Source organism: Homo sapiens, chromosome 17 (assembly GCF_000001405.40).
Source record: "Homo sapiens chromosome 17, GRCh38.p14 Primary Assembly".
NCBI classification, from domain to species: Eukaryota; Metazoa; Chordata; class Mammalia; order Primates; family Hominidae; genus Homo; species Homo sapiens.
Window position 1 is genome coordinate 35,235,132 of NC_000017.11, and position 21,163 is coordinate 35,256,294.

General features: G+C 44.3%; 2 protein-coding genes across 3 annotated transcripts in view, besides 4 other annotated features; one reads left to right on the top strand and one right to left on the bottom strand.

The window, feature by feature from the left end:
* Nucleotides 1–4,911: 4,911 nt before the first annotated feature.
* Nucleotides 4,912–9,020, bottom strand: LOC105371932 (uncharacterized). Its single transcript, XM_047437262.1, has 4 exons — nt 8,980–9,020; nt 7,791–8,088; nt 7,495–7,694; nt 4,912–6,839 (listed from the first exon to the last, which is right to left on the bottom strand). Exons 1-4 carry the CDS (start codon nt 9,018–9,020, stop codon nt 6,392–6,394), a joined length of 987 nt encoding a protein of 328 aa, XP_047293218.1. The 3' UTR covers nt 4,912–6,391.
* Nucleotides 7,693–7,752: an enhancer, noted in NCBI's record as "active region_12060". NCBI's record gives its function as "activates an Ori minimal core promoter by ATAC-STARR-seq in GM12878 lymphoblastoid cells {active_cell/tissue: GM12878}" and the evidence as "EXISTENCE:reporter gene assay evidence [ECO:0000049][PMID:35858748]".
* Nucleotides 7,941–21,163, top strand: part of SLFN5 (schlafen family member 5) — a 30,584-nt gene continuing 17,361 nt past the window's right edge. For both annotated transcript variants that reach the window (NM_144975.4, NM_001330183.2), the window contains exon 1: nt 7,941–8,012. The gene's annotated coding sequence lies outside the window, so the exon portion shown is untranslated. The remainder of the gene's footprint in view (nt 8,013–21,163) is intronic.
* Nucleotides 8,273–8,382: an enhancer, noted in NCBI's record as "active region_12061". NCBI's record gives its function as "activates an Ori minimal core promoter by ATAC-STARR-seq in GM12878 lymphoblastoid cells {active_cell/tissue: GM12878}" and the evidence as "EXISTENCE:reporter gene assay evidence [ECO:0000049][PMID:35858748]".
* Nucleotides 8,273–8,984: a biological region, named in NCBI's record as "NANOG-H3K4me1 hESC enhancer GRCh37_chr17:33570506-33571134".
* Nucleotides 8,356–8,984: an enhancer, noted in NCBI's record as "NANOG-H3K4me1 hESC enhancer chr17:33570506-33571134 (GRCh37/hg19 assembly coordinates)". NCBI's record gives its function as "activates a minimal SCP1, AML or CMV promoter by ChIP-STARR-seq in naive H9 embryonic stem cells {active_cell/tissue: H9 hESC(naive)}" and the evidence as "EXISTENCE:reporter gene assay evidence [ECO:0000049][PMID:30033119]".

Sequence of the window (21,163 nt, forward strand, 5' to 3'; positions counted from 1 at the left end):
TTGCCTGTTCCCTCTGATGATAGTTTCTTTTGTGTACCCCAAGGATATATATTTCTTCTCCTTCTCCTTCTTCTTCTTTTTAAAAAAAGAGACAGTGTCTTGCTGTGTCACCTAGGCTGGAGTGCAGCGGTGCCATCATAGTTCACTGTAGCTTCAAACTCCCAGGCTCAGGTGATCCTCCTGCCTCAGTCTCCGAAGAAGCTGTGACTACAGGTGCACACCCCTACACTCGGCTTATTTATTCTTACTTCAGGCCACTTCTCCTTCCACACAAAGTGAATAATCAGGTGCATGATTCAGAGCTCTGCCTACTGAGAAAATCTTCCCTTTTCACTGTCTTTCAGGACTACTCCCTACAGCATGTGGCTATAACACAGTCACAGTTCATTTCTGGTCTGCACGCACATACTAAGCTAACCCATCTGTAAGCTATGCTTGAGTTTTTTTTTCTCTTTCACTTAGTTGTATGGGCACCTCTTTAGCTCCTGTAGAGAAATAGGTGCAAACTAGTGCAAGTGTGGTGAGTGACATAGGGGAGTATAGGAGAGTCTGGACTACCTGCTCCTGCAGCTTAATTGTGTCCTTTGCTCCTGCTCAAGTTCCATTCTGGATTTCCACATTAACACGTTCTGCTTCTGGGCCCATCCAACTTGGGGACTTGTTAGGTCCAACAGAATCCAGCTTATCATGGACAGTTTCAGATGCATGGTTAGCTGGTGTCCCAAGGATAAGTGTTCAGTCTCTATCAGGATCCACTAACGTGCAAGTGCTATTTCTCAAATGGCATATAATTCTCTGCTGTGGATGTCATGGCCTTGTTCCAGAATCCCAGGTGCCTGCCTTGGGATTCTCCCTCTGGGGCTTGCCATGATCCCCATACTGCATTGTCCAACTATTGCCAGATAGAATGCCACAGGCTGTCAGATTGTAAGGTGCAAGTTGCAGGGTGTGATTGCGCCATGTACTGCAGTACTGCTGCAGTACTTCCTGCTCTAGGTCCCTTGAAGCATGCAGCTCTACATGTCACCTGATTTATGGTCCAGAGTAGTATTTTTGGTATGGAGTATGTTGCCTGTAGAAGTTAAATAGTCCTGCCAGATGCTATGCTTTCTTCTTTGCGGTAGGGGATGCAAGATACAGAAATTTGTCCTTTACTATGGAGGGGACACCTAGTGCAACTCTTACTGCTGAATCCCTTAAAAATTTCACAGGAGTGGCTGGTTCCTGAAATCTTAGCATGGTTTATCTCCAGTCCTCTGGAATGTGTACATCTTACCAAGGCCCCTAGAGCCACCACTTGTTCATCTGTTCAGAAGCATGATGTCAAAGTAATGGGTCCATGTGGTGTTCTCTGGGCTGTCCAGATGGTGCAGATTTCTTTGTACTATATTATGACTGAAAGCAAGAGTTAAAATAACCCTGGAGCAAAATGTAACTGAATATTTTTGTCCGTTCCACATGAATGTGAACTGTTTCTGATCTTCTTTTCAATTGGAATGGAAGAGAATGCATTCGCCAAATCAGTGCTCACATACTTTTCACCTGAAGGCTTACTAACGTTGATCTAGATGACACCAAATAGCAGCCAGAATCAGAGTTACTCCTCGGTTAAGCCTGTGGTAGTCTATAGTCATTCTTCAGGATCTTGCCAATTTCTTCAGGGGCTAGGCTAACAAATTAAATGAAAATATAACGGGAACTGCCTTCCCTGCATCCTTTAGTTCTTTAATAGTGGCACGCATCTCTTACACTATGAAACTGATTTTTATTTATCATCTTGGCTGAGTTGTGGGCAGCTTCAGAGGTTTCCATTTGGCCGTCCCCACTATAATAGTTATGCTTTACCGACCCGGGCCTAATGTTGGGGATAGTCCAACTATGCACTTGGCTGCTTGGGAAATCATCCACAGACCAAATGAACCACTGTGAGTCAGATTTCAGACAGAACTCCATTCATTACCTTGTCCCATTGTAACAGGCACTATGATGATATTTCAGGTTTCTGGGTATCAGTGTTAACTCACATCCCATATTCAACAGACCTTGAAATGTCTGGTTATTTCCTTTCCCCAGCATATGGTCACATGAGTAAATGCCCATAGGTACCTTTGGGGAAGAGCTGGAGGAATTGTCATGGCATACATTTGCCATGGCATTGTAAGATTCTTCCTCCTGGGGACCCATCACTTCAGCCAGTGGGTTCCAGATCTGCAAATTGACTTGAGTTTGAGAACTAAACAAGAAGTTGTGGCTTTTTACTGGGGGCAATCACCCATAGCTTCCTGCTCCTTTATTATTGCTCTTCGTGGGTTATGGATGTTAAGTAACATTCTTATTGGCTGCCTGTCTATTTTGCCTCTAAGGACATCATTCTCCATTAACCATCTCCACAACTCCCTGTGGCTCTAGTCCCGGTGGCTGTCTGACTAACCATGCCAGTTACTGTGGTAATTGTGACCTCCTAGCTTCTATTATTTGAGGGCTCCCATCATGCATTCCCATGGGTGTTAATGAGCCCAGCTTTGAGACTGCCTCACCTACCATCCTCTTTGGCATGCAGTGGACAGCCATCACTGGACTTCTTTGATGCAGGTGCCCCTCTCACCAGTGCTTTCTGGCAGTCTTGGTGAGTGGCGTGTAATCTGGGACATGTCATAGAACAAAATCCTCTAGCTGCATTACTTCTGGTCTTACCTAATATATCCATTCCTTCATGCTCATTTCCCTCAAACTCTTTATTTCTTCCTCTACCATATGTCAGGGGAATTTGGGCATTTCCATGTTGCTGAGAGTTGGGAGTCAATGAAAGATGAGAGAGCTGTCAGACAATGATGCAAGTCTGATCCTGTGTGGAGGAGAGGGGAAAAAGATTGGGTGGAAGTATGCCAGATATTTACTCAAAGTCAAGCAAAAGTTGGCCATTAGAGGCATCCTTTGTCTCCTAGGAGAAGGCCTGCCCTGCTGTCCTTGCCATACTCAGTCATCAGCTGGGAGCAGCCCATGGAAGCATGGCCTTCACACAAATGTGCAATGGATTTCAAAGTGAGGCAGCTGGGGTGCTTTGTGAATTAAGCTCCAAGTTGAGGTCTTTGAAGTGCATTCTCACAATTGCCAGAGTGTCCTTTACAGCAAAAAGAATTTTTTTTCTAGTCCGAGCTACAGCCTAGGATTACATGGTGACTTTGTCTTGTCTTTTTAATGTTCTTCAATCTAGAACAGTCTTTCCATTTGGGTTTGGGTTTAACGTTTTCTTTTCTTTTTACTTTGAGACAGGGTCTTGCTATATTGCCCAGGCTGGTCTTGAACTCCTGGCCTCAAGCAATCCTCCTGCCTCAAACTCCCAAGTAGCTTGGACTACAGGTGGGCACCATTGAACCCTCTAATGTTTCCTTATAGTTACTTTCTATTGTGCTGTTTTGTTTTGTTTTATTGGGTCAGGAATACATAAGAAATAAAAATTGTTCTTTTAGTGGCATGCAATTTAATTTGTCCTGTTACTAATGATGTTAACTTTGATCACTTGGTTGAGGTGATATATTCCAGGATTCTCTGGAAAATTAGTGTCTTTTTCCTTTGTAATAAATAGAGCATCTTGTGGGGATATGCTTTGAGACTCTGTAATTACCCTCAGTGTGCTAAAGATCTGAGGGGATATAGAGAGAAAATTCTGAGTCACACTTTCATTTCATGTAGCTGAAAAAGCAACTTAAACATTGGACTTGACTGAAATTAAGCTTGGACTTAACTGAGCTCCTTCAGGAAAAGCTTAATTACTTACTGAGACAGGAAAATCATCAGGACACTCTCGGATCTCAATGTGGGTACTGGGAGTGCCAGAGAACCAAGATTCTCCCTCCCACTCTCTCTGATGTGTGTGATTCATATGAACATTGATAAAGGATGTCTCATCCCTCCTTCAAGTAAACTTGTTCTGACAAAATTTCACCACACTTTGTCAAATGGCAAACATTGTTCCTAAGAAACATCATATACGTGTTTATGCAAATTTTGTTTTTTAAACTTTTTATCAAGAAAAGAAAAAAAGTGGAAAATATGTTTTTGCCTGAAAAGTGAATATTATAAACAAGTAGCTTGGGTTTGAAAGATAGTCTGTGGAAACACAGATAAGGCTCTATGCTAAGATGCTTGCTGCTATAATCCTCAGTCCCCTAGTAAAAGTTTCTGCAAAAAGCTTGGCCAGCCATGATGCCATTGAGCATTGACCCCCATAATCAATCTCCCTGTGACTCTCACGGAGAATGCTGAAGCAAATTTTCTGTAGTGAGGGATCTGTAGACCATGGCATGCAGCCTCCAGTCTCACTGTGCAGACTGAGGACAGTGACACAGGTCATTGACACACGGCTGACCTAGGCAGTGATTCTCCCTACACTAATACAGTGATTCTTTCTGTGAGAGACTGCCTGCCCTTAATAAGATAACATGCCCCTTTGGCCGGGCACAGTGGCTCACGCCTGTAATCCCAGCACTTTGGGAGGCCGAGGCGGGCGGAACATGAGGTCAGGAGACTGAGACCATCCTGGCTAACACAGTGAAACCCCGTCTCTACTAAAAATACAAAAAAAAAAAAAATAGCTGGGTGTGGTGGCGGGCACCTGTAGTCCCAGCTACTCAGGAGGCTGAGGCAGGAGAATGGCATGAACCTGGGAGGTAGAGCTTGCAGCGAGCCAAGATCGAGCCACTGCTCTCCAGCCTGGGTGACAAAGCGAGATTCTGCCTCAAAAAAAAAAAAAAAAAAAAGAATAACCTGCCCCTTTAACCTACCAACTCTCTTCTCCTCTTTAGTTTGTTGAAGCAAAAACAACGTAAATATTGCATTAACCAAGTGTGTGTATGAGAGAGAGAGAGAGAGGAGAGAGAGAGAAGAGAGAGAGAGAGAGAGAATGAGCAGTTATGGCTCTTGGCATTTTTTACTGGACAAGGCAAACCTAAAGATTTTACTTTTAAACTTGAATTAATGCTGAGAGTAAGTCACATCTGCCCTCACTTCCCTCCCACTCCACACAAACATGCATACCACTGGAAAGGCAACATTTTATCAAAGGCATTTGGCGTTTTTCCTCTCTTATGACCCTCTAGAAGCTTGAGAATGTGGGAGAGAAGGGCTGGAACCAGAAATGGAGAAGTAGTGCTGGAACAATAATGACCTGAAAGCCAGTGGAACTGAGGTCTCCTGCAGGAACTTTTGGGGAGGCCTGGATACTTTGGAGACCAATGGGTATGGATGGAAAGAAGAGCAGAAATGATTCAGCTCATAAAGCAGTGAAAAGGAATGATCTAAGTACATGAACAAATCTTTAAAGCAAAATGTTAAAGTGTGGGAGCAAGTTCTACAGAACACATACAATATGATACTTTTTTTTTTTTTTTTAAAGAGACAGGGTCTCACTCTATTGCCCATGCAGGGGTGCAGTGGCACAATCAGAGCTCATAGCATCCTTCAACTCCTGGGCTCAAGCCATCTTCCCACTTCAGCCTCCTGAGTAGCTGGGACTTCATAGGCAGGCACCACCACACCCAGCTAATTTAAAACAATTTTTTTGGCTGGGCGCGGGGGCTCACACCTGTAATTCCAGCACTTTGGAAAGCCGAGGCAGGCAGATCATGAGGTCAAGAGTTCGTAGACCAGCATGGCCAATATGGTGAAACCTTGTCTCTACTAAAAATACAAAAATCAGCTGGGCGTGGTGGGATGTGCCTGTAGTCCCAGCTACTTGGGAGGCCAAGGCAGGAGAATTGCTTGAACCCCGGAGGCCGACATTGCAGCAAGCCGAGATTGCGCCACTGCACTCCAGCCTGAGTGACACAGCAAGACTCCGTCTCAAACAAACAAACAAACAAACAAACAATTTTTTTTTTTTAGAGATAGGGTCTTGCTATGTTGCCCAGGCTGGTCTCAAACTCTGGGCCTCAAGCCGTCTTCCCTCTCAGCCTTCCAAAGTGCTGGAATTACAGTCGTGAGTAACTGCACCTGGCCAACATGATGCCATTTACATGCAGCTTAAACGCATATACATGTGTTGAATCAGTGTCATGTGTTGATGAGGGACATAAACACATTTACTAAAAGTATAAACAGTTGCATGGGAATTAGTAACTTTAAATTCATAAAATTGTACTGGCTATCAGGTGAGTAGGGGACAAGTGGAATGAGGGAATGAGACCAGCTGGGTACCCAAATATTGCTAATGTTATTGCTTAAGCTGTGTGGTGAATACACAGGTGTTCAATTTACTATTATTTCGCACTTTCCGTGTACTTTAGCTATTTGACAATACATTTAAAAATCGAAAACTTATCCCATAATCCCAGGCTCCAGAGGTGATAGTAGGTGGTGTTTTCCAGACCTTTCCCGCTGCCTTGATTTTCTGTTAACTGGCCACCATCCTTGTCTCCTCGCGCTGCCGGTCGCTGCAGAACCCCTGCGCGGAGGGACTGCCAGTTCCCAGGAAGGTGCAGGACAGCTGGAGCCTCTTCTTCTCTGGGCAGGGATTTAAATGTTCTTGGGTAGCCTCGCCAGAGACCTGTGCGGCCCTACAGTGACCTTCTTTCCAGCCACTTTCCCATGAGCTCAAAGCTTTGGATTCTGTCACTTGCAAAGGGTCAGGCCTGATCCCTTGCGGGTTCTTGAGAAGTGAGTAAGACTTCCAGCGCCCCGGCCCAGACTGCGACGACCCAGACTGCGACGACCCAGTCTGCGCCTGGCGCAGGCTCCATAGACGGCTTTTCTTCAGCTCTGTCCACTGAGACCTCGAGCCCTTGAGCAGAAGATGGGAGAGAGAGGGTCTTGCTGGGCGGGCTCCAGAAGTCCTCCTGGCTCTGGGCGCAGGAGTTGGAAGAGAAGAGATAGAGAAACATCTACTCACCAGAATTGTAAACTGGAAGAAGGGTAGAGGAAAGGTGCCTAGAGAGGGCAGCTGGAATCAGGATTGGGCTGAATATTTTAGGAGTCCCCAAGTGCTACTTCTATCCGCTGGGAGCACGGGTTCGAATCTGCCCCCAGGCAGCCCGCTCCTGGTTCTCTTGTCCCCCTGTGCTGCGGCGGGGCCCACTTCGGCCCTCGGGTTCCCCGCACAGGCCACACAGGGCAGCAGCGCGCGCCGTACCCACGGGCAGTTCGAGAGGGCCGCGCGTGGCGGAGCCAGGCCCTTCGCCAGCGCCCAGTACAAATTTAGTACTAGAATTAAGAGAAACACACTGAAATCTGACAGCCCCGCCTAAGACCCGGGCGTGAGGAAGTCTGCGGTGGGTGATGAATACAAAGAACAGTTTCTCTTTCCTGTCAGTAAAACGCTGTTTCCAGAGCCTGCCAGGTTTCGCCCCAGTGGCCACACCTATGCCTGGCAGGTGCTGGTCCGAGCCCCTAGCGCCAGCAAAAGAAAGGAGGCGGACGCAACATTCTCGAATTACTAGGAGAAGGAGGGAGGCTTTCCCTTCCCCCCAGTGCCCCATGTACCAACGCGTCTCGCCATACCCCTTGCCCCTCTTCCAGCAGCTGACGGAGTAATTCGAGTAGGAATCGAAAGATTTGGAGGCGCCGGGGGAGAAACCTGCGGAGCGCTCTCCGAGCCTGTGGCGTCCCAGGAAGACTCCGAGCGGGGCCAGGGAAGTTCTCTGGAGGACATGGGGTGGATACCCAGGTCTCCTTCCCTGGGTGAAATAAGAACTGAAAATCTAAAAATAAAATAAATAAAATAAAATAGAAAACACAGAGAAGCAACAAAAAAGCGCTTCCCCTCCTCAGTTCTCCCCAGTCCACCCAAGGTTTACCAAGACTGTTGTAGTTGCAAGAGTGGGCTTCCGGCTCCACGTAACGATGCGATTGGGCTGTACCTCTGTCTGTCTCCTGCGCGATGTCCCGCCCCGGGAGGTGTCACGGAACTCAGCTGATATAAGCCCGGGATCCCGCCGGGTCAGGTTCTCTGCTCTGGACTTGGGAGGCTCCGTTGCCTGCTCCCGGAGGGAGACGCGCTGCCGAGGAGAACCCAGCGGGTAATGAATCCCCCGCGCTTCTTTGCCCAGGCCTTCCCCAAACCTCCCCCCGGTCTGCGCGGGTTCTCCTATTGGGCTGTGGTGAAGACAAGGTGCGGCGACTGCAGCTCCCCAGGTCTGGGCGCTGCCGGGAGAGAGTCTTTCCCGCTGGGGAGATTTAGTTTGTTGACTCAGGAGCACCTCCAACGACAGCTAGTGGCAGAGGACCCGGGAGCTGGGAGGTTCGGAACGCGGGGCGAGCTGGGGAGGAGGGAGAGGCGCCGACCCAGCGCAGCCTACATCTTAGCAAACCAAACCTGGCAACATTTCCCCACGGTTCAGGAGCACGAAGGACTTAAGGGAAAACGACGAAATCGGGGCTCCCGAGGATGAAGTTAAATGGGTTGTGGCCTGGGGACAAATAGGGCCAATGTCCAGTCTATTACAAGAGGCTTTGTTCCAGAGGCTTGCCTATAAGCCCCTGGCTTGGAACGTCAGTCTTCAAACTGTAACAACAGGGGCAGGCTACTAGGGTAGCCCACAAAGCCCTGTATCCCCCATACAGTGACTAACTAGAGCCCTAGTTGGTCATATCCGCAGTGGCTGAGACTGCGGTGTGATTCCGTTTCCCTCTTGCATGTGTCCCGGGAGCCCGAGTTGTCGAAGCCCAAATTCAGGCTCAGGAACCTGATGTGCTGTTGATGCCAAACACTGACACACAGATGCTTGGAGACAGAGGAAGATTTATTCCATTTGGCCAAAGCGAGAAGGCAAGAGGTCAAGATCTCTCAAATCCACCCTAACAAAAAGAAGTAGTGGGGAGTTTTTATGAGACCAGGAAGTAAGGGAGGGGGAATTTCAGGGAACCTCGGGGAAAAGTCTTTCTTCGTCTCAGATTACATCTTGAACCACCAGACTTCTGGGCGTCAGCAGCTGGTCACAATGCCCTTAAAGGCATTCATTCCTTCTGCAAAATTTTTTTCTTGACTCTGAAGCTATATCCTCCTGCTTGACAAAGAAACGGTGCATCAGCAGTTTATAATTATATTGCTAGAAAAAGGAATATTGGGCAAAAAGTGGGTAGTTAACATATGCAAATAAGCAAGGGCCTCATCGGAATTTTCATGGTTTCATCACTAAAAATGTTGGGGTGCTGAAATCTTGAGGGGCTCGGTTGCACCAGAAGGGGATCCTTTGTCACTAGTGCAGGCAGGAAGGGATGCTTGAGGGAGGATGGGGGGAACTTTTCAATAGTTCCTCCCCTCCCCTACCAATAGCGGGTGGGAGGGCGTTGGTTTAGAGCCAAGCCTCTAGGAGAAGATGAGAGCAATGGCTAAAGTTTGTCTGGCCTCGCCCTATGAGAAGGGGGCGGAGGCTGTGCCTGCCTTTGTGGGGGAAAAAGAAGCCGATTCCTAATCTGTCTGTCTCATGGGAGGTGAGAGTTCCTGTGGCAGGATAACAGACAAGCAATTCAGTGTGATAACATCCTGTGTCAGAAGTATTCATTTAAATGTCACAAGAGGCCGGGCGCCGTGGCTTATGCCTGTAATCTCAGCACTTTGGGAGGCTGAGGCTGGTGGATCACGTGAGGTGGGCGGATCACTTGAGGTCAGGAGTTCGAGACAGCCTGGCCAACATGGTGAAACCCCATCTGTACAAAAAATGCAAAAATTAGCTGGATGTGATGACACATGCCTGTAATTCCAGCTACTCGGAGCCTGAGGCAGGAGAATTGCTTGAACCACCCCCTCCCCCCACCATAAAAAAAGTCACAAGAATTAAACTCTTTTGTTTAAGAAAATAAGCAGTTTTATTATTTCCATGTAAGAGGAAGAAGAGGAAAATGCTGTGATCCACTCCTGGCCTGATTATGAAAATTCACACGTGTTTATAGCAGCCCCACTTTAACCATGGGATATGTCCCAAGACCCTAAGTTGATGCCTAAAACCAGATGCCTGAAACCATGGGTAGCACCAAACCCTATATCTAATGTGTTTTTTCCCTATACTTTCACTGTTTCACTTAAAGAAAGCACTTAAAGAAAGGCTTTTCTTTGGCATATCTGAATTGCCAGCATCACTACTCTGGAGATTTGGGGCCATTAAATAAAATAAGAGTTACTTGAACATAAGCAGTATTAGAGTTGATCTGGTAAGTAAGAAGGCTACCAAGTGACTAAGGGCTAGTAGCATATACGGGGTGAGTACACCAGACAAAGGAATGATTCATGTCCTGGGGTGAGAGGGAGTGGATGGCATGAGATTTCATCAGGCTACTCAGAATGAAACTTGAAACTTATAAATTATTTATTTCTGGAATTTTTCATTTAATATTTTTGGACTAGAGCTGACTGTGGTAACTAAAGCATGGAAAACCACCAGATAAGGGAGGACTACTATATACTATCAGAAAATAGAAATCATTTCCAGTATTATTGTTATGGCAAATTGAATCATATGATATACACTCTTTTATGTCTGGCTTCTGTCACTCAGCATCATTGTTTTCAGATTCATCTATGTCATTGTGGGTACCAATAGTTCTTTCCTTTTTATTACGGTTGAGTAGTCTTCTATTATATGGATAATCAATATTGGCTTCTTCATTCATCTACTGATGGGCATTTGGATTGTTTCCAGTCTATGTCTTTCACAAATAAAAATGTTATGAACATTCATGCACAAGTCTTTGTATGGACATATGCTTTTTTTTTTTTTTCCTCTTGGGTAAATACTTTGGTGTGGAATGGCTGGGTCATATGGCAAGCGTACGCAGAACTTCTTAAGAAACTGCCAAATTCTTTTCCAAAATGGTCGTACCCCTTTATATCCCTACAAGGAGTATATGACGATGCCCATTCCTTCACATCTTCACCAACAACTAGCATGGTTAGTCATTTTAGCCATTCTAATAGATGTGTAGTGGTATCTCACTGAAGTTTTAATAGGCATTTCCCTAACGACTAATGATGTTGAGCATAATTCAATGTGCTTATTTGTATCCATATATTTTCTTTGGTAAATTGTCTATTCAAGTATTTTATTCATTTTTAAATTGGGTTTTTTTATCATTACTTTTTGAGTGTTCTATATATAATCTACTTACAAGTTCTTTATCAGTTATGTAATTTGCAAATACCTTCTTCCAGTCAGAGGTTTATATTTTCTTTTTTTCTTAAACTTTTACTTTAAGTTCAGGAGTACTTGTGCCTGACGTGCAGGTTTGTTACATAGATAAATGTGTTGCCATGGTGGTTTGCTGCACAGATCATCCCATCACCTAGGTATTAAGCCCAGCAGCCATTAGCACCATTCTGATGCTCTCGCTCCTCCTGTTGCCCCCTCCTCTGACAGGCTGGGGCTTATATTTTCATTCTCTTAATAGTGTCTTTCAGAAGGAGAAGTTCTTAAAGTCCAATATATCATTTAAAAAAATTTATTGTGCATCTAGGCCAGGTGCAGTGGCTCATGCCTGTAAACCCAGCACTTTGGGAGGCCGAGGCAGGGAGATCACTTGAGGTCAGGAGTTTGAGACCAGCCTGGTCAACATGGTGAAATGCCATCTCTACTAAAATTACAAAATTTACCCAGGCGTGGTGGTGGGCACCTGTAATCCCAGCTACTAGAGAGGCTGAGGCAGGAGAATCGCTTGAACCCAAGGGGTGGAGGTTCCAGTGACCGAAATAGCACCACTGCACTCCAGCCTGGGCAGCAGAGGGAGACTCCATCTCAGAAAAAAAAAAAAAAATTATTTTGTTCATCTAATATCATCTGTAAGAAATGTTTGCCTAACCCAAGGCAAAAATATTTTCTCTTATATTTTTCTCTAGAAATTTTATGGTTGACAGGCTAAATATACATACAAACTCTGGCCAGGACATATGCAAAAATAGAACTCTGACCCAGAACTGCTGCAGTAACCAGCCTGGGAAGCCAAACACAACTTCTGCAGCAGTTGACTGGTAGTGGTCAGGACCTTGTCAATAACTGACAGCATCCTTAATTTTTGCTCCTGATTCCAATTTAGGACCAGTCAGAGAAAGCCAAATATGTTCCCCAAACTAATCATACAGGATGTTCATTTCTAGTTAGCCTGCTTCCAACTTCCCTACGACAACACCCTTGAATCATATCATACCTGAGCATTCCCTTTTTGTCACTATCAATCTTTCCCCTGCCTGTCTATGAGGCTTTGACAAATGTGAGTGATGATGGCGGCTGACTCCCTCGTTATAGTGAGCTCTGAATAAACAGCCTCTGCTTGTTCTCATCCAGGCAGACTTCATTAATGTCTTTAGTTTCCTTGCAGGTTCCACCAAGGTACCATCTGCCCACTGTGTGGACTCCCATTTTCAAACAGGATGGCTGCTACAGAGGCACCTTGCACCTTGCAGAGAGTGGTTTGTTGAGTTTGCACTGATAGGATAAGTCAGCACTGACTGAATGTCTCTTTTTTTTGAGTTCCTCAGCTACTGATTCTCATTTGATACCCGGGTTTTGTTATTGGTTCCCATTTATTTGGCACCCTAGGTGGAATCAGGCCATTCTCTTTCACCTCTTTTGGCTCTCTTTTTTGTGTGTTTGTGTTGTGCTGTTTAAAAGCGGTTTGTCCGAAGAAGGAGAATGACAGGGTCAGACATAGGCATAGGTCCTACAAGCCTGTTCAAGCTTGCTTCACAGTCCAGTGAGTTTGTGGTTCTCCCTGAACCCATGTCCATGTGGACAAACTTTGTTGTGGGTCACCAATAAAACCAGCTCAGGTTCTCCTTCCATCTTGCGTTTTTGTCCTGAGAGCTTCACTTTGGTCCACGGGGAGTGCTTTCTCTGGTTTTCTGCCTACTGAGGGGCACAGATTGTCTGGTCTGTGTTAGGAGGTGCCCAACTGTACGGTTGGGGACCTGAGACACAAAGTGCACAAGAATTATACTCCTACTGATGGTCAACAGCTCTCATGGGGTCTTCTAAGTCTAAATACCCTCCTCATCTAGGAGAAACTGCTTCTTATTTGTACAACACTAGCTCATGCACCTACCTTCCTACCTTCCTAATGGCATAACTCCAAGGATGATCTGGGCCTTTACTGGCTATTTTGGGGTACATTTGACTTGAACAAAATTGTTCATTTGACATGCACCTTAGAAAAGTAGGAATAAGATTTCTCAGGATGAATGGGGCTGCCGTTTTTTGTTGGTAGGCAGAGGCCTCCAAATGAAATTCTGATCAAAAATTGCTTCATTAAAAGATTCTTTGCCCAAAACCAATGGGAAATTTGACACACTTAAACAACAACAAACTAGACTCATTTCCCTAGTAAATGCTTCTTTTTCTTGTCTTCCAGATGCCTCCGTGTATCCAGCTCTCTCTTTTCCCCCTTATCCTTCTATTAGGTTGGTGCAAGAGTAATTGCAATTTTTGCCATGACTTTCAATAATCTCTCTCCTATACTTCAGTCAACTGCTCACTTCTCTTCCCCCTTTTCAGACCCCCACCCTTTGCCCAATAACTCTCCTAAACTCCAAAATTCCAGTTGCCTCTGAATATCCATCCCTCTCTTTAAGCCAGGTATGCAGACATCTGTAGAATTTAAACCTTGGATCCAAGCTGAATTAAGAGTTATACTTAAAGGTTTCCCTAAACCCAGCAAGACTAGCAAAAATTCACAAAAGAATTTAGAATTCTTCTAGGTACATATGACCCAAGGTTACCTAACCTCTATCAACTTGTACACATGTTGGTCAGAATCTCAGGTGCTAAATCCTGGAGGGCAAAAGCTGATTGGACAGACTCAGAAAGGGACCCACAGTATCCCTCTTTCCATAGTAAATCCGAGGGTTTTAAAAAAAAGGATCCAAAAAGTAAGGCAAAGTCTCCTAAAAGCCATACCCAAATCATTTCTAATAAAAATCCATTGGACCATGCAAACAAAAAAATAAAACTGTTGGACTTTTTCAGGATAGACTAGGAAATACCTTCCAACACATCAGTTAAAGAAGGTGGTAAAAAGCAGCCCTTTCATCTCATTTTGTCAGTGGAGTTAAACATGAAATTGGAGACTTAATTCTAAAACAGAAATTGGAATGGAAAACAACCCCTTTATCTGAATTGTAACACCAAGCAGAACATTTTGAAAGAGCTTTAGAACTAAAATGAGACAGGACTCAAAATAAACTTGTGGCCCACTTCCCAATCAACCACCTATTGACAAGGACACTACAGATATTGTAAACAGAACCAAGACAAATAAAAATCCATCAGTTCAGATCAATGAGGGTGCTCAGAGGAAGGAGAAACTACCCAATAGTCTGCCTTTCCCTAAACACTCAAGGTGATTTAACTATAAATACAGGTGGTCAACTTCATCAATTTCTGGTAAACATGGTACTACTCTTTCTATGTTAAACACTGTCCCTTTTGCTCAATCTCTTCCTCTGAGTAAACATACCACACAGGTGGTAGGTATTTCAAGTAACCCACATATAAGCCACATATTTATTCCATCTCCCAGCCCTTAACTGTAGCCCTTGGTCCCTGACTGAAAAACATTCCTTCCTCCTCTTTGATATCATGCCTATGAGTTTAATAGAGACTTAATTTGCAAATGGAACTGTAATATGTATTGATGTTCCAGAGACTTCTCTATTCATAATCAAGTTGCACCTGCTATGAATACACCTTTGCTTTCTCTATTATATTTGATGCATACTCCAAATAAATATCTTGACACCAAACCTGACAGTGTAAGGGGCTAAAAATTCCACTCACATAGGACGAATAATTGGAGAAGCAAAATAATAAGCAGAACTTACTAAGTTCAGACAGATCCTGTCAAACCATTACCCAAACTTCCCCAATATCCATAGAAGTCAGACGCAAAGGAATGGCTCGAACCTACAGTTGAAGGCCTTATATGCAAAGGTCCTCTCCTATCCCCTAGTAACACTCCTGTCCCGCCAGCAAAGAAACCAAGTGGATGAAGATATTGATTTAAGACTTCAGAACCATCAACAAAATTGTCATTTCTTTTTTCCCAGTAGTGCCTAACCCACACACCATCTGTCATTAATTCTACTTGAAGTCACTTGCTTTACTGTAGTAGAAATTTTCTCTGCCTTTTTCAGTGCACCTTTAGACAAAGACAGTCAATACTTTTCTGCCTTTGCCTTGGGAAGGACAATGGTATAACTGGACAGTCATACTCCAGAGATTCATTGAAGCCCCTGTTTTTGTCCAGATGCTCAAGTAAGAGTTAAAAGATGGCTGGGCGCGGTGGCTCACGCCTGTAATCCCAGCACTTTGGGAGGCCGAGGCGGGCGGATCACGAGGTCAGATCAAGACCATCCTGGCTAAAACGGTGAAACCCGGTCTCTACTAAAAAAAAATATCAAAAATTAGCCAGGCGTGGTGGCGGGCGCCTGTAGTCCCAGCTACTCGGGAGGCTGAGGCAGGAGAATGGCGTGAACCCGGGAGGCGGAGCTTGCAGTGAGCCGAGGTCGCGCCACTGCACTCCAGCCTGGGCGACAGAGCAAGACTCATCTCAAAAAAAAAAAAAAAGAGTTAAAAGACATAAATTTCCCTTGTGACCTTGTGATTCAGTTCTGATACAATATAAAAATGATCTCCTACTTTGTTCAGAGAACAAGGAAGCCTGTTAAAAGGATTCCATTTTCTTGCTCTCAGCCTTAGTAGAGAAGGGACATAAAATTTTTAAGGCTAAATTACAATTTTACCAAAACACAATTCATTATTTGAAGTAAACCTCTCTAAGGAGGGATAAATATTCTCTCCTGATAAAGATTATCCGAAGTTATTGTAAATCCCTCACAAAATGACAGATGAGAGGATTTCTAGGTTAACTGGATATTGCAAACAATAGGTGCCAAAGTTTTCTGAAATTGGAGCACCTCTTTATGGATTGACTGTCTTCAGTGAGGGATTCTCTCCTTTGAAAGTCCAAACATAAAGACCTCCTGGAACCTGAAATCAGTTCTTCAACAGCCTCCTTCCCAAAGCACCCCAACTGTAGAAAGCCATTTTGTCTATTTGTGCGAGAGCGATGTAGAGAAGCCCTTGGGCCTTCAACTTCATGGAAACCATGAAAACCCCATTATTTGCTGTAGCCTCACTCTTGACCTGTTTAAAAGGCTTATTTCTATTGGTTTAGGGCATTAGCTGTCACTGCAAAACTTGATGATGCTTCTGCCAAACTAGCTCTAGGCTCATTCCCCGCCTGACCTCATGGTTTCTCATGCAACACAAACATTACTAATTTGGGGTTTTTTTTTGTTTGTTTTTTTGTTTTTTGAGACGGAGTCTCGCTCTGTCACCCAGGCTGGAGTGCAGTGGCGCGATCTCGGCTCACTGCAAGCTCCGCCTCCCGGGTTCACGCCATTCTCCTGCCTCAACCTCCCGAGTAGCTGGGACTACAGGCACCCGCCACCACGCCAGGTTAATTTTTTGTATTTTTAGTAGAGACGGGGTTTCACCGTGTTAGCCAGGATGGTCTCAATCTCTGACCTCGTGATCTGCCAGCCTCGGCCTCCCAAAGTGCTGGGATTACAGGCATGAGCCATGGCGCCCGGACTTTTTTTTTTTTTTTTTTTTTTTTTTTAAAGACAGAGTCTTGTTCTGTCGCCCACGCTGGAGTGCAATGGCATGATTTCGGCTCACTGCAACTTCTGCCTCCTAGGTTCAAGCGATTCTCCTGCCTCAACCTCCCGAGTAGCTGGGATTACAGGCACACACCACCACGCCCTGCTAATTTTTGTAATTTTAGTAGAAACAGGGTTTCACCATGTTGGCCAGGCTGGTCTCAAACTCCTGCCCCCAGGTGATCCACCCATGAAAAAATCTGGTTGAATCTTTACTCTCATAATCTCTGGTGCTCTCAAAATGGCCACTTGCTGGCACCAAATTATTTAAAATGGATATTAGCTAAATTTCTCCATGAAATTACTCATTATAATATAGACAAATTGGTCACTATCTTAAATCCACATCCGTGGGAAAACTAAAAAGACAGCTGAGCGGTGGGGCATGGTGGCTCATACCTGTAATCCCAGCACTTTAAGAGGCTGAGGCAGGAGGATTGCTTGAGGTTATGAGTTTGAGACCAGCCTAGGCAATCTTGTAAGACCCTATCTGTACAAAAAATTTAAAAAATTAGCTGTGCATTGTGGCGCGTTCTTGTAGTCCTAGCTACTTGGGAGGCTAAGGCAGGAGGATAGCTTGAGCCTAAGAGTTCAAGGCTATAGTGAGCCATGACTGCACTCCAGCCTGGGTGACAGAGTGAAAAGCCCTGTCTCTAAAAAAACAAAAACCAAAAAGGACAGCTGAGGATATTTTCAGGTTATGTGTCGCCTGTCAACAACATAATCCTGGAAAAATTCTAATGTCATCTTTTGTTCCTCTATAGATAATGTGCCTTTTTCCTCTGGATGCTTTTAAGATTTTTTTCTGTATCACTGGTTTTGAACAATTTAATTATGATGTTCCTCAGTATTTTTTTTTTTCACATTTCTTGTGCTTAAGGTTTGTGTAACATCTTAGATTTTAGATCTTGATTTTTTCTAGTGTTCATCAAATTTTCTTCAAAAATGTTTTAGTTGTTTCAGACAGGAGAGTAGCCTAGTCCCTAGTACTTTATTCTGACTGGAAGTGAAAGTCTCATGAATGTAGTTTTGAAAATCATAGTTCCTTAGACACAGTAAGGAAACCAATGGCCTCAGCCTCTCCCACTTCTGCTTGCCAGGAGCCTCTTGTCTCTCGGGCTTTTTCTTCTGGCACGTGTTTCTGTATTTCTAAACAGCATGCTTATTTTCTCCTTTCTCCCTCCCACCCCCTCTCATTTTAGATATTGTCTTAGTCAATTTGGGCTGCTGTAACAAAATACCATGGACTGGGTGGCTTTTAAACAACAAAAATTTATTGCACACAATTTTGGTGGCTGGGAAGTCCAAGGTGCTGAGAGATTTGGTATCTGGAGAGGGCCCTCATAGATGGTGCCTTCTCACTGGGTCCTCGCATGGTAGCGGGGGTGTATATGCTCCCTTGGACCTCTTTCATAAGGGCACTAATCTCACTTATGAGGGTACATCATCATGACCTAATCACCTTCCAATGGCCCTATCTCCTAATACCAGCACCTTTAGGGTTAGGATTTGCACAATGAACTTTAGGGAGTTGCAAACATTCAGACCATAAAAGATACTGTTTATTTCTGGAAGATGACTGTATAGCACTCTCTCTCTCTCTCTCTTTTAAATCTTTGGAGACAGGGTCTCCCTCTGTTGCCCAGGCTGGAGTGCAGTGGTATGATCTTGGCTCACTGCAGCCTCAATCCACTGGGCTCAGGAGATCCTCCTACCTCAGCTTCCCAAGTAGGTAGGACTACAGGTGCATGCCACCATGCTTGGTGTTTTGGTTTTTGAAGAGATAAGAACTCGTTATCCCATTATGTTGCCCAGGCTGGTCTTAAGCTCCTGGCCTCAAGCAATCCTCCCACCTTGGCCTCCCAAAATGGGGGAATTACAGGTGTGAGCCGCTGTGCCTGGCCTGAGTATAGCTAACAGTTTTTTTTTTTTTTTTTTTTTTTTTGAGATGGAGTCTCACTCTGTCACCCAGGCTGGAGTGCAGTGGCATGATCTCAGCTCACTGCAATCTCCAGCTCCTGGGCTCAAGTGATTCTTGTGCCTCAGCCTCCTGAGTAGCTGAGACTACAGCCGCATGCCACCTTGCCTGGCTAATTTTTGTATTTTTCGTAGAGATGGGATTTCACTGTGTTGGCCAGGCTGGTCTTGAACTCCTAACCTCAGGTGATCCGCCCACCTTGTCTTCCCAAAGTGCTGGGATTACAAGCATGAGCCACTGTGCCTGGCCAACACTTCTTATCCTATGCCTTCCTTCTCCACATCCTGCCAATACAACTATATCTTATATCATCATTTTTTATCAGAACAATATTCGGAGTTTATATTATCATGACTAGGACTTTATTTACAACGGTGCCAAATAATGCCTTATGGTTATCTTTTATTTACTATACTACTTTTTATTTTAACTTAGCATTATTGTCTTATATTTGTATTTGTCTGTCTTCCTAAGTGCCTATGACCAATTCATCCCCTACTCTCCACCCTCTCAGTTTACTAAGTGATCTGTCAATTGCATGGTCTTAGGCTCTGTCCACCGAAGCCTGCTGCTCTGTTGTGCAGTTTTGCCTGTGATCTGTAGGCCTGCTCTGCAGCTGTTATTCCCAGACCTCCCTTCACAAACATCCAGGGGATTTTTAAACTTCCTTTCCTTGTTGAATCTCTTGTTTCCTGCATCCACTTTTTTGAGGGAAGAAATGCAGGGGGCAGGGCAAAGACAGTGTCCAGAGAGCATGAAATCTGAAATCTCAGTTCACAGTGCCAACTCTTACGACACAGGGTTCTGTAATCATGCATGAGTCACTGTTTTTCTTCCTACTTCAGAGAACTTCAAATTTTGCCAGCAATGCCCAGCATCCATTACTGCAGGCATTCTATTTTGGTGTCATCAACTTCCCTGCTCAAGTTTTCAGTGCACTTGGCATTCCTTCTGCGTACATGTTGAGGTTTAAATTTCTGGATTTCGGCCGGGCGTGGTGGCTCACGCCTGTAATCCCAGCAATTTGGGAGGCTGAAGCGGGTGGATCACCTGAGGTCAGGAGTTCGAGACCAGCCTGGCTAACATGGCGAAACCCTGTCTCTACTAAAAATACAAAAATTAGCTGGGCATGGTGGCTTGTGCCTGTAGTCCCAGCTACTCAGAAGGCTGAGGAAGGAGAATCACTTGAACCCAGGAGGCAGAGGTTGCAGTGAGCTGAGATCACACCACTGCACTACAGCCTGGGCAATAGAGCGAGGCTCTGTCTCAAAAAAATCAAAATAAATAAATAAATAAATTTCTGGATTTTAAAAAACTCACTATTGTTTTTCAATAATCTATGAGGGGTGAAGGAGGTACAGACATCTTTCTTGGGATTCTTAAGTTAGAATCTCCTGTTATTCTTCTAATTAGAAAAAGGATTAATGATGTTAAAAAAGACAAATCTTATTGTTAATGGCTCTGCAAACCAACAACACAAAAATATTTAGAGAAAAGTGCTGAAGGAAATGCATTAGAATGCTAAATCTTTAAATGGTGAATCTATAAGTGTTCTTTTTCTTTAATTCTGCCTTTGGTTTTTCTTTCTTTGACACATTGAGCACATATTACTTTTACTGCTGGGAAAAATGTAAGTTGAAATAAAAACAACATAGAAAACACTGAATCTGCTTTTAGAAAATGACTACCATGATATGTGTGTGTATGCGTGCGCACATGTGCATACGCATGGGTGTTTTAGCGGAATCTAATCTAATCTGTGTGTCTCTCAGAGTTGGGAGGTAGAGCCTTAGGGCTTTAACTAGAGATGAAAAGACATACATGGAACAATGGATGGAGTCCTGCAGGGAACCATTGTCTGCCTGAGCAGAAAGCTTGTACTTGTATAACAGTGCCTGGGAAAAAAAATGAAAACTCATTTCATTTTGGGATAATTTTATTGTAAAGTATACCACACATACAACAGAGAATAAAACTTTATTACATAGTTAAAAAAATATTAAAATAAACACACATGTATTCACTCCAGATTAAGAAATACATTTCTAGAAGCTAAGAAGCTTCCTGTATATTTCTCCCCTATTTCTCTGTCTCCCTAATTCCACCCTCTTCCTCCCCAAACAGAGGTAGCCACTATTTTGAATGTTCTATTATTTCCTTACTTTTCTTTATGATATTACTACCTATATATGTCTCCCTAAATAACACATTATTTAGTTTTACCTGTTTTTGAACTTCATATAAATGGAATCATAATAGATGTATTCTGTGGTTTGTGTATTTTTTACAACATTATATTCTTAGAGTTCATTCAAAATAGTGCATGTAGGCTGGGCGCGGTGGCTTACGCCTGTAATGCCAGTATATTGGGAGGCCAAGGCGGGCAGATCACCGGAGGTCAGGAGTTCAAGACCAGCCTGGCAAACATGGTGAAACCCTGTCTCTACTAAAAATACAAAAATTAGCCGGGAATGGTGGCAGGCACCTGTAGTCCCAGATCCTCGGGAGGCTGAGGCAGGAGAATCGCTTGAACCTGGGAGGCAGAG